This window comes from Homo sapiens, chromosome 6 (assembly GCF_000001405.40).
Source record: "Homo sapiens chromosome 6, GRCh38.p14 Primary Assembly".
Taxonomy (NCBI): Eukaryota; Metazoa; Chordata; class Mammalia; order Primates; family Hominidae; genus Homo; species Homo sapiens.
Genome location: NC_000006.12, coordinates 137577294 through 137590662, shown reverse-complemented (window position 1 = coordinate 137590662; position 13369 = coordinate 137577294). Strand labels below are relative to the sequence as shown.

The window sequence follows — 13369 nt, the reverse complement described above, 5'->3', positions numbered from 1 at the left end:
TGACCTTGGATAGTCTGATGATGATATGCCTTGGTGATGTTTATCTTGTAGAATATCTTCCTGATGTTCTCTAAATTTCTTGTATCTGGATGTCTATGTCTCCAGGGAAATTTTTCTGAATTATCCCTCAAATACTTTTCCCAAATTTCTTACTTTTTCTTCTTCTCCCTCAGGAATGCCTATAAATTACAGGTCTGGTCACCATATGGAACCACATATTTCTCAAACGTGTTTTTCATTAAAAAAATTCTTTGTTTTTGTCTGACTGGGTTAATTTGGAAGATCAGTCTTCAAGCTCTGAAATTCTTTATTTTGTTTCATGTAGTCTCTTGTTAAAGCTTTAAATTGTGTTTTGAAAATTCCTTCAGTGAATTTTTTATTTCCTGAAGGGTTTTTTCTCCTTTGTTTTTTTTTTTTGTTTTTTTTTTTTTTTTTGTATTTAAAATACATCTATCTTGTCTTTCCTATCCTGAATTGTTTTCCCGATTTCTTTGTGTTGGTTTTCAACTTTCTCTTGGATCTCATTGAGCTTCCTTACAATTCATACTTTGAATTCTTTATCTGTCATTTCAAAGTTTTCATTTTGGTTAGGATCCATTGCTACAGACCTAGTGTGGTCCTTTGAGGGTGTCACAAAATTCTGTTTCTTCATGCTGGTTTCTTGTGCTAGTTCTTCTCATCCGTGGAAGCTGCCACTTTTTATTTTTGAAGTTACTCTTTTGGAGTGGGATTTTTTCTTCTCTCCTTGAGGGTGTTACAGCTGTGTGTGTTGGGTAGGATTTGTTTCTGCATGCTTTTAGGGGCCCAAGGCTCCTTACGAATTCCTTGGTTATAGATAGCCTTAGTGTGGTTTTCTCAAATGGTAGTTATTTGTAGGTTGTAGTAGTGGAGTACTGTACATGTGGTCAGGCTGTCTGTCACCTACAGAGATGAGTAAGTTGAGGTCTGGGGAAGCTTATCTCCTTCCTTAGCACTGTGCACATCTGTTAGCAGGAAGTATATTGGGTTGTGCAGTTCACCCTACAGGCCAGTAGATAGCACTTGCGGGCAAAAGCCTGCTGACTGCTATACAATGATGTCAGTAGTTGTGAAACACTGTGCAGTTTGACCTCCTTGCCAGTAGGTGGCAACTGCAGATAAGAGGCAGTTACAGTGACGGCAGTGGAATTTTTACTTGACCTTTGTTAACGGGGTATGTGTCCCTGGTAATGGGCAGGGCATGGGGCTTTCAGGGATCCCATCTCACGTTCTGCTACCAAAGTGGCTATAGGGAGCAAAGCTGGGTAGGGCCTGGGTCAGCTGAACCCAGAACCAGGCTCTTAAGGCAGGTACAAGTGCTGACCTTAGCAGGGGTCTAGGGGAAGCTTTCAGGCCCCTACCCTGCCCCCACAGAGCCAGCTCAGGGGACCAGGGGCTGCCAGGGATTTTCAGCCTAGAAGGCGGCTGCAGGCCTGCACAGCTCTCACACACTGATTTGCTCTCCCTGCAGCAAATGGCTAGGGCAACAGGCTTGACTGGTTAGTCTAGTCCCAAGCTATCTGTGCCCAGATTGCCAAACCGTTCCTGGCGTTCAGGTCTGCTAGAACCCGTGGAGTAGAAACTGCCACTAAGAGACCCCACCCTTTCCTGTCTGGCCTCATGAAGGGAGGGACGCCCAGCTCCCCACACCATCACACTAACCCACTTCACACTCTTCTCTGTGTTCTGACAGTTGAGTTTCCTCCCCAACTCAAGGTCAGGCCACAGATCTCATCTCCCTACCCCTGGGCAGTGTGCTCCAGTCCTGGAGAACTGGACCCAGGCCAGCAGATTTATCCTTTGGCCCCTTGGGATCAAGCACCAGCTGTGATACAGAGGTGGACTACTCCCAGGTTACCAAGAAACCACTCAGGCTGGGCGATGGTGGCTATGCATTGGGCTTCCCCTGCAAGAATGGCCAGGCAGGCAGTCTTGGGAGGGACCAGCAGGCATGAGGGCATGTGGTTCGGATGCACACATGGCAGCGGGGCCTGTCTTGGGTGCATGAGCATGCGTGGACTTTGCTCTCTCCTGCAGGCAGATAGCAGAAACTGCAGCTGCTTAGGGAAGGATGCAGAGCTTTGTTGGGGATGGGGGAAGGTGGTTCCCAGAGTCACACTTTGCTGCAGCTGCCCAGCACACTGAAGCATTTTGGGATCCACTCAGGTTTAAGCAGTGCCTGTATGTATTCTCCACACAGCTCTCCCTACCATTCTGAAGGTCTGCTTGGGGGTCATGAGAAGTCTTCTAGCTAGGATCTCAAAGGTCCACCATGGGAATATGGTGCTCTGGGGTTCCTTTACTCACCCTTTCTTTGGGTCTGATCTAGGGGCCAGTCCTTGTCTTAGTTACACAGCAGATAACCTGCTTCATGAAAGCTTACCACTTTTCCATTGATGCATAGTTAGCATTTACCAACAAACCATCTCAGGTGTTTGCTGGGTTGTGTATCTAACCCTCTAATTTCAATACTTTAAACACATTTTGCTTTGATGAAATACAAGTGCTTTAATTTCTCAAACATGCTACTTGTCTTTCTTCTTATACATTTTTAAAGGCATGTGGAACAATTTTTGTCATTTCCAACGACAATCTACTTTTGAGACATTCTAATGTCTACTCTAAGCACACATTGTACAACATGAGTTCCTACTGGTGTTCATACTATTATAATTCTATGGAATTCTATGATCAAATATACTTGTACATGCTGTTATAGCCAGATTGATACCAGCTGGACTCTACAATTGAATCAAGATAACTAGGGAGTCAGTTCTGGTGCCCAGGGTAAGCAAGCAATATGAGCAGCCCCACTTATAGAATATTTCATAATGTCACCTTAATTTAGTTGTTTGTTCAACAAATATTATTGAATTGTCTATTATGGAGTAGGCACTGTGCTAGACACTGGGGAAACAGAGGTAATTAAGTACATGTTATGTAAATATTTAACCATTCCCTGTTATCTGTTTACCCCATAGTAAATGATATTTATGCTAGCTCTTAAATTAAGCAAACAAACAAATGCACAGTATTTTCTAAAATTCGCATGCTAAAAGTTTTATAGACCTATATGTAGTGTGACACTTATCCATATTATACTGAGAATGTAGCTGTTTGTGGTATTTATTGTTTGTTATGAATACAGGGTGAAAGTGAAGAATATGATTATTAATACTAGAATTACTTCTCTTTTTTTGAGAGAGAGAGGTTCGCTCTTGTTGCCTAGGCTGGAGGGCAATGGCGCGATCTCGGCTCACCACAACCTCCGCCTCCCGGGTTCAAGCGATTCTCCTGCCTCACCCTCGCGAGTAGCTGGGATTACAAGCGTGCACCTCCATGCCCAGGTAATTTTGTATTTTTAGTAGAGATGGGGTTTCTCCATGTTGGTCAGGCTTGTCATGAACTCTCAACCTCAGGTGATCCACCTGCCTCAGCCTCCCAAAATGCTGGGATTACAGGCGTGAACCACCGTGCCCGGCTTAAATGCTAGAATTATTAAATGACTACACAATATACCAGTTATTTTATCATATACGTCACTTGTAACTCCAGGATAAAAGCCCCGTACTTGCTATGGCTTTGATTCCAAATTTCTCTCTGTTCTCTTCCTACTTGGTGAGCTGAGCTGGATCACATGGAAGCAAAAGCACCAGAGAGTGGGTGAGGACTTTCTCAGGGCCTTTCCCATTTATGCCCCCTCCCTACCCACTCGCGCGCCACCCACGTTATATTCCTGGCCCTCCAAGTTACCAGTCTGACTGCTGAAACTCAGGGAAGATAAGAAAGAGTTTTTTCTACAAGGCAGTGGCTCTCCAGTTTTATAGAACATAAATTACATGGAGAGTTGTTAAAATGCAGATTCTTAGGCTCCATCCCCCAGAGAGTTTGATTCAGCAGAACAGAGTAGAGCTTAAGGATTCTGATGCAGGTGTCCTCTAATCCATACTGCCTGTAAAAGAAAAGGACACCCTCTCATTCCTTCACCAGCTACTTAAGAGAAAAAGGGTGATTCTCTCTCTCTCTCTTTCTTTCTCTCTCTCTGTCTCTCTCTCATACAGCCACCACACACACACACACAAAAGAAAAACGTACTCAAAAAAGAAGAAATTATAGCTTTGGTTCCATCTGTAATGGAATGATGAGCATTGTACTTATCCCATAGTAAATAGCTATAAAAACAGACAGAAGGTATGAAATGACTATTTGTAGGCATTGATTAACAGTGCCTAAAGTACAAGACCCAATTATATGTTGCTTGTAGGAGATATTTAAATATAAAGACACAGATAGATTAAAAGCAAAAGGTATGCCACGCAAACACTAATAATTTAAAAGCTGGAGTGGCTATAGTAGATTTCAAAGCAAGGAAGATTAGTGGCAATAATGAGGGATATTTAACAATGAAAGACATCTAGTTCATCAAGAAGACAGTAATCCTAAATGTGTATACATCTAATAAAAGAGCTTCAAAATATATGAAGCAAAAACCAAAGAGACTTAAAAAAAAGAAACAGACATATCTTCAGTTACAGTGCAAATTTACATTTTTCTCAGTAATTACTTGAACAAGTAGGCAAAAAAAACCAGTAAGGAAGGATATAAAAGATTTGAACAACTCTCAACCAATTTTCCCTAATTAGCATCTTTAGAACACTACCTCAATGGCTGCTGTAGAAACATTCTTTTCAGTTGCAGATGGAACATTCACCAAGATAGACCATATTCTGGCCCATAAAACAAATCTCAATAAATTTAAAAAGATTTAAATCTTACAGTGTATGTTTTCTGACCACAATAGAATTAAAGATCAATAACCAAAAGATAGTTGGAAAAAAGCCCAAGTATTTACAAATTAAGGGACATACTACTAAATAACTCACAGGTCAAGGAAAATTTTAAAATATTTTGAATTAAAGGCTGATAGCATCTTAAAATTTGTGGAATGCAGCTAAAGCCATGCTTAAAGGGAAATTTATAGCTATTATAGGGCAAAAGAAGTCAGACACAAGGCGATATATTGTGGGATTCCAATAGATGTAAAGTACAAAAACAGACAAAAAACAAATGCTCTTGGAAGTCAGGATAGTGGTTCCCCTGGGGCAGGTGTAGCCCTTTTAAGGACGTTATATTAGTCTGCTAGCACTGCAATAACAAAATATTAATCTAGGTGGCTTAAATAACAGACATGTATTTTCTCCCGGTTCTGGAGGCTGAAACTCTAAGATCAAGGTGCAGGTAGGGTTGGTTATTTCTGGCCTCCCTCCTTTGCTTCAGATGTCTGCCTTCTTGCTCCATCTTCACATGGCCTGTGACCTGTTGACACACATCCTTGGTGTCTCTTTCTCTTCTTATTAGGACACCAGTGCTATTGGATTAGGATCCCATCCTTATGAGCTCATTAACCTTAATTACCTTTTTAAAGGCCCTGTCTCCAAATACAGTCACACTGAGAATGGGGTCTTCAACATACAACTTTGAGAGAGACAGTCCAGTCATAATTGACACATAAGGACAGCTTCTGGAGTACTGGTTGTTTTCTGTTTCTTTTTTCTTTTTTAGAGATGCAGTCTCACTCTGTCGCCCGGGCTTGAGTGCAATGGTGAGATCTCGGCTCACTGCAACCTCCGCCTCCCAGGTTCAAGCAATTCTCCTGCCTCAGCCTCCCTAGTAGCTGGGATTACAGGCGTGCACCACCATGCCTGGCTAGGTTTTTGTTTGTTTGTTTGTTTGTTTTTTGCATTTTTAGTAGAGACGAGCTTTCACCATGTTGGCCAGGCTGGCCTCGAACTCCTGACCTCAAATGATCCACCTGCCTCAGCCTCCCAAAGTGTTAGAATTACAGGTGTGAGCCAATGTGCCTGGCCGTTTTCTGTTCCTTTATCTGAATGCTGGTTCCCTGTGTTACATCTGTACTCAATTTCTAAAAATTAATTGATCAGTTCACATATGGTAATGTACTTTTCTATATGTATATTAAAAGTTTAAATTAACTGTATAAATATAAAAAGGTATTTTTATAAGTATGTAAAAAAAGTTAAAATCAAAAAAGAATTCATCATGCAGAAAAGAGCGGCCCAGGATAGTTAGAGTGGTTGCCTCATGTACAGAATCTTGAAGAGCCTGGCTCTACAGTTAGCCAGACCACGTTTGAGACCCGGCTCCACCGTGTAGGGGTTAACAACTTACTTTTTCTGATCTCGGTTTCCTCAGATGTGAAGCAACCCACCTGGGAGAGCTGTTGTGAGAATGAAAACACTCAATTCACATTAGCAACATGATAATTTCACTGCTCTGCCTCCCTGCAGAGCTTCTCCCTGGGGGCACAGTTAAGGATGGGGAAGGAAGATATCCTTGAGCAAATCTCAAAGATGATGCAGACCATTTTCTAGAGTCTCGAATTCCACTGTATAGAGAAAAGTTTGTTTGAAAAGTTGGGAATTCATGCTGCTTTTGAAGAGATGCAGTCTCACTCTGTCTCCCGGGCTTGAGTGCAATGGTGAGATCTCGGCTCACTGCAACCTCCGCCTCCCGGGTTCAAGCAATTCTCCTGCCTCAGCCTCCCTAGTAGCTGGGATTACAGGCGTGCACCTGTAATCCCACTTGCAACTAAGCAAGGGCTTAGTTGGTAATATTCCACAGGTGTTACAGCCAACTAGGGACAAAGCAAGACGTAAAGGAGCAGAGCTGAAGGGTGACGACATACAAAGTTTCTGATTTAAGTCCTTCTTTTTGTTGTTCCCGGCAAACTGGAATGCCCTTTTCTTTTCCTCTCTCTAAATAAGACCATCTCTGTATCCTTTATGATTCACTTAAATGTTACTAAGTTGATGACCCCCATCTCAGGCGGTTTTGATCCATATTAACTTTCCCTTTATTTGAACTCCGGTGACACTTCTGTTTACTGTACATTTGTTGTTTCTTCTTTTTCTTTTTTTTTTTTTTTGAGATGGAGTCTTGCTCTGTCACCCAGGGTAGAGTGCAGAGGTGCGATCTCAGCTCATTGCAACCTCTGCCTCCCGGGTTCAAGCAATTCTCCTGGCTCAGCCTCCTGAGTAGCTGGGATTATAGGCACCCACCACCACGCCTGGCTAATTTTTTTGTACTTTTAATAGAGACAGGGTTTCGCCATGTGGGCCACGCTGGTCTCAAACTCCTGACCTCAAGTGATCCACCCACCTCGGCCTCCCAAAGTGCTGGGATTACAGGTGTGAGCCACTGCGCCCAGCCCATTTGTTGTTTCTTAATCACATTGTGATTGCATTGTAGCCTAGCTGTTTTTTTATTTGTCTTCTCATTGAAATGATCAACATCAGAGAGCAAGACTTCCTTTCCCTATATTTGCCTAGCTTTTAAGGTGAGGGAAGAGACCACTCAGTCTTCTACATGGTATTAGCTACAGTTTTAGCCTAGAACAGTGTCTGGAGTATGGTGCGCATTAAGCACTGTTTAATGAAGGTGCGGTTATGTTACCATGGAATGCCACAAGATGTTCAGCCAAAAGGCTCAAGCAGTCCCTGAAGTGTTTAAAAGAAGATCTAGAGAGCAGGCAAAAAATAGAGAAGACTTTGCTGGAGAAGTTAACGACAGACTGTAATAGGACAGAGCTAAGAGTCAAAAAAAATGGATGAGCTAGTGACCATTTTATTCTCTCAAGAGTGGAGACTAAGACTCAAAGTCCAAGTTCCTAGAGTCCTTCCCTGTCTGTTCTCACCTTCAATGACATTTTGGAGTCTGTAAAATGTGGTGCATATGTTATGTGGTTATGTTTAACATCTTTTTCACCAAGCATATTACATGCCTTTCTCTAAGTAATTATTATTTTTGGAAGCATTTTTAATATGTACCAAATAATCCAACACAGACACAGGCTATAGTTTATTTTGCCATTCTCCACTCTTAAAAACTTACTTTTGTTTCCAGGTATCACTACTATTATAATGCTTTGGTTATCTTTGTATGTAAATATATAACCGTTTTTCTGATTATTTCTTTACGATAGAGTCCAAAGAATTCTAAAAGTAAATTACTAGGTGAGGGCCTTTTTGTTTTTGTTTTTGTTAAATTGCTTTCTAGAGTTCATATTAGCACTAGGAATATATCAGAGCACCTGTTTTAAAATAAAGAGCTACCTTTAAAAATGGGAGAAACTAGGCCAGGGGCAGTGGCTCATGCCTGCAATCCCAACACTTTGGGAGGCTGAGGTGGGTGGATCACCTAAGGTCAGGAGTTCGAGACCAGCCTGGGCAACATGGTGAGACCCCCGTCACTACTAAAAATACAAAAATCAGCCGGGTGTGGTGGCACGTACCTGTAATCCTAGCTACTCGGGAGGCTGAGGCAGGAGAATCACATGAACCAGTGAGCTGAGATCACGCCACTGCACTCCAGCCTGGGCGACAGAGCGAGACTCCATCTCTAAAAACAAAAACAAAAACAAACAAAAAAAAAATGGGAGAAACTACACTGCAGATACAAACTGCAGGACTATATGTTCACTTACAAGTAATGAAATGAACAAATTAATAAAGGTGGGAGAACTCCATTCCAAGTGATGCTTACATTTTTTAGTGGTGATAATAGTGACAGAAGTAATGGTCACAAGTATTCTTTATTTACCTTTTAATTCAGCTTTCCAATAAGAAAGTAGTGCCTGATTACTGTCTTACTCTGACAGGCTTATCTAGTCCTTCAGCCTCAAGCCCTTCTACTCCCTTCATCTTTCCCTGCTCTCACTACTCCCCACAATCCCTGCATCACCCAAAGCAACACATGAATCTTTGATCTTATGCCAAACTATTTTTAAAAATCTCTTCTCTGGAGGTTGGCAACTGACCACTCCATGCTCAGAGTGACACCTTCTCATGAAGCATTTATCAAGGTAGTTTTATAGGCAAAGGCACTTCCTTCTCTTAATATCCTTCTCTTGGGTCAAATTTTAATATATACTAAACATTCCTTCCCAACTCAAGTAATATCAAAAGTGAACATCTGATTGTGTCACTCCTGTTTAAATACCTTTAATTGCTCCGCATTACCCTCAGAATAAAATCTAGATTCCTCCCTGAAGCTTTCAAGGTCATTGTTATTCAGGCCAGTGCTGCTGTCTGGCTTTATTCTCTTTCTTCTCTCCCCACACTTGTGCTGCTGCAGAACTGAGCATCTCAGTTCTTGTTGTTTCTGGGCCAACGCACACGTGTTTTCTGTGCCTAGAAGGCTCTATCTCAGCCATCACCTCTTCCCACCCTACTCCCCATATTTCTGCCTGACTAAACTCTAATTATCTTTAGCTTCCAATCTAGGTACTACATTTCCAAAAATGCCTTTCCTGACCCAAAGGCTGATAGTTCTTTTCACTTGAGACTCTATTTTACATGCCTATGTCCTACTTGACAGTGAGTTCCTCAAATTCAGAGACCACAACTGTTAAGTTTCTGTTTCTGGAGGCTAACACAGACAACACTGAGCTAACAACAATCATTGAAGCAAGAAGGCTGACCTAGGGAAGAGGTCATGGCCATGGACATGGACATGGCTGTGTTCCAATAAACTTTCTATACAAAAGTGGATAGTGGGCTGGATTTGGCCCAGGGGCCCTAGTTTGCAAACCTCTGGTTTAAGATATAAGGAAGCAATACTACTCCAATGAATCTGTTATGTTCTGTCTACAGAAATCATTATAATCTTGAACATATTTAATCCATACATGTCTCTCAGTCTGACCAGTCTGCTTCACCTGGCTAAGTAGCTGGTTGCAGGGGCATCCTCAGGGAAGGTCTGAGCCTCCACTATTTAGAGAATGATGCTCTCCATTTCCAAAATGCCCTCAGCTATACCTCTTTACTGTTTCTATAAATACAAATTGCAAAATAGACAAGAATAAAGTTTTTGTTAAAATCTCTCTAAGATAAAAGTTGACCTTAAAAATAAGGTAAAATTGATGAGATGTAAAAGCAAATATAAAAAGCCAATGAGATAAAAGGTTAAAAGTATAAAATGATGAAAGATTTAAGCTAAAAGGCCCAAATACGATAAACATTTTAAAATTTAAAGTAAACGAGATTAAAGGTTAAAGATAAAAATTAAGTACTGGTAGTGTAGGAATAAAAATTATAAATCTACAAGAATTAAGAAGATTAAAAAAACTATTTTTAAAAGAAAAGAAGAACCAAAAGCACCGAGATTACAAAAGGTAAATATTAAGAATATTATAAAGAGGAAAAAAAGTAAAGACAGAATGGCAAGAAGTGGGAAGAGACTAAGATCTCAAGGGATTGTCAGCCTCTTCCTAGAAAAAGGCCTCTGTCTCATCTGGGAGCCAGGCAGTATGGAGCCCTCCTCCCGCAGGCACTGGCAGGCTAGATGCAGGGCCTGAGGCTTCTCCACGAAAATTGGCAAAGAACTGGTTTGCAGGGCACAGGGGTCCAGGCTGCATAGCATCACTGGGTCACAGAAAACCTCCCAAAAGACCATCTGGAAAAAGGGTTAGCCATTATGGATGAGCTTAAATTTCAGAGTATCTAGTTCAGATAGTTTTCTCTTCTTCTTCTTCAAATATGGAAACAAATGAGAATAAAATGTCTTTCTGTCAAGTATGCATGTATATTATACATATATATGCCTGTGTATGAAAATTGTATAAAAATTTATACAAAACTGTATTAAAATTGTGTATGAGAATTGTAGAAATGTATACATATGAAAATGTTATATATTATATAGAATTGTATATATGTATGCATATATGATTATATGCATATAAACATTGTATCTGTTTATACCTAAGTCACATATATTGGCTCCTAGCCAAAAATGTGAATAGACACACACACAAACACACATGCACATACCCACACTACGACATTGCTCAGGACAGATCACAGCAGTACCTGGGTACTGATCACACTGTCCAAGGAACTGACCATGCTCCTCTGGAAAGCTCACATTACTGACACAGACAAGGAACTGCAGCCTCTTCCCTTTCTCAAGGGAAGAGCTGCCCAAAGGAGATTGAGCTGCAGATTCAACGCAGTTGTTGCTTCCCTTGGTGACCATGCACTTGTTCCCACCCACCAAAACTCTTTTTCCTTGTCCTGTACAAAATGTCATTTTGTTAATAATAGAAAACCAACTGGAAGAACTTTGTTTTTTAAATCACAGACACAATAGAAGAACACAACATGTTTTTCTATTAATCTTCACATTGTATTTGAATTAGGAGGATGATTCTGTCTCATTTTGCAAATGGTGAAATCTAGAAATCCCATATGCTATAGGCTCACACTCTGCTGAAACTCTCTACCTTACTCATCATTAAGGATGCTTTTGGCGATGTAAAAAAGCCTTTCAGATGAAATACTTTTTATGAAAGTTTTAAAACAGATGTGGGATTATTAGATTAAAAAATAGTTTATCCTGGGTCCAAGTAATGGAGTTAATGTAAATGAACCCAAAATTGAGGGGATTTTTGTTTGTTGTTGGCTTGTGCAGGCTAAGTAAAACTTATAATGCAGGGGTGTTCTGGAGCTGGCTTGAAATGCTTTGCAAGAGCTGATTGTGTGTATGTATTTTCAATTTAGCCTTAGTGAAGTTAGATTCATTGCTTTGAAATCATCCATGGTTGGAAGTGTTAAACTGCAGAAATCAGCACCCACTAAAAATCTCTGGGCCTCCAGAGATGGTTGTTAAATATTTACTGGCATGTCACTGCCATAATATAAACAGAACTGTTTTGTTAATATTAAATGTTCTTTCCGCGCAAAAATAGTGAAATATATTTGCAGGGTTACTGTGGTGAACCATATCACAACAGAAGAATTGACAAAAAGATTTTATACTATTTGGCATCTTTGTAAAAATGTTAACTGGATACTATTTAAAACTAGGTTAACCTAAGTTGAGTTCTATTAATTAGTTTTTTATTTAAGTTCTCCCCCCTGGGAATTGCTCTAAGTTTTACAGGTCATTAACTGATAGTTGTTTTCATATACATACACATATAGGTGCTTCATGGTAGAATATAAGTGGTAATATACCAAGTGATAGACTAGTGGCATTAAGGACTCAGTAGAACTTCTAAAGATGTTTAAGTTACATGCAAGGAGCAACAAAGACACTGAGAAGAACTGTACTAGGAGGAAATTGACATCATTTTTAAAAATTCAAAGCACAAATCCTTCTAAAAGACCTAGGACAGGAATGGATGTCTAGAAATTAGTCTTCAGTTAACTTTGGGGATCTTTGGTGTCCCTTAACATTGATTTTACTTGCCATTTTGCAATTGTTTTCTGTTTTAAATAGTGTCTGACATTACAATTAGAAAAATGAAAATGATTTCCTAATAATTAAGAATGAAGTGGTGTGTGTCTTTGCACAACATGTGATCAACAGAATTCTGTGCTTTTACATTGAAATGCAGATAAATGATAAAACATTTTTGGTTTTTACTGCATGTGTTTAGGCAATAAAATAGTTCTATCCAAGTTTCTTAATAATAGCCTCAGTGTCATTTCAAATTGAAAAATTCAGTCCTAGTGAAACAATTGCTGTGTAAAAGTGATGAAATGAAAACCAGGGGCCTTGAGTCTTCCCAAAGACACAGAGCATGATAAGGAGGCTCAAGTGGCTTTACAGCCACACCTGTCATACATCCCATGGACAGGAGAGATGGGTTTAGTTAAATTTACTGGCTCAGTTAGTGTGCCTCTCTATTCATCACCCTCCAAATTAGGCCCTCGCAAAACTGTATGGCCCCATTGAAAATACCCCTTCCTGGGTAGAGGTGGTCTGGTGTCAGGTCAGGAGTAACAGAAGAGCTGCATTCTCTACAAAAGAGCTCTCAAGGCCCTCGGCTGGGTGGGGGTGGAATGGAGGGAAGTCCAGCTTCCAAATGTAACTGGATTATTCTTTTAACAAACATGTGAAATGATTGTCCTATCAGTAGAGCAGGCATCTCGGAAAATGTTCCGATCTCACAGTGGTTCTCTTTCTCTCTATGTAGACACAGCTACCAGATTATGTCAACTCTTCCATCTGAGTGGTGGGTATGTTGGTGTTCATTGTATTATACTTTCTATGTTTTGGATGTTTAAATCTCTCACAATTAAAATTCAGTTTTAAAATACTCTCATTTGTGACAAAGTTTTGCACTTTGTTCATTGTCCACAGTCACCAAAACGAATCTTTTCAAATAATTTCAGACAGCATATCAAAATGTTCATTATATAATGTTAAGTGAAAAGGCAAGCTCTATAATTAAGTATAATGTGATTTTAATCATATAAAAAGGAACATATGTTTTACACATGTACAACAGATATATTTATACATATATAAATTAAGAAAGAAAATA

The 13369-nt window shown here is 40.2% G+C and overlaps 4 annotated features.

Moving 5' to 3' along the window:
- Nucleotides 897-1191: an enhancer, noted in NCBI's record as "tiled region #13388; HepG2 Activating DNase unmatched - State 8:EnhW, and K562 Activating DNase matched - State 12:CtcfO". NCBI's record gives its function as "activates a minimal TATA promoter and a strong SV40 promoter by Sharpr-MPRA in HepG2 and K562 cells {active_cell/tissue: HepG2 | K562}" and the evidence as "EXISTENCE:reporter gene assay evidence [ECO:0000049][PMID:27701403]".
- Nucleotides 897-1541: a biological region, named in NCBI's record as "Sharpr-MPRA regulatory region 13388".
- Nucleotides 914-1541: an enhancer, noted in NCBI's record as "H3K27ac-H3K4me1 hESC enhancer chr6:137910259-137910886 (GRCh37/hg19 assembly coordinates)". NCBI's record gives its function as "activates a minimal SCP1, AML or CMV promoter by ChIP-STARR-seq in naive H9 embryonic stem cells {active_cell/tissue: H9 hESC(naive)}" and the evidence as "EXISTENCE:reporter gene assay evidence [ECO:0000049][PMID:30033119]".
- Nucleotides 9120-9309: an enhancer, noted in NCBI's record as "active region_25141". NCBI's record gives its function as "activates an Ori minimal core promoter by ATAC-STARR-seq in GM12878 lymphoblastoid cells {active_cell/tissue: GM12878}" and the evidence as "EXISTENCE:reporter gene assay evidence [ECO:0000049][PMID:35858748]".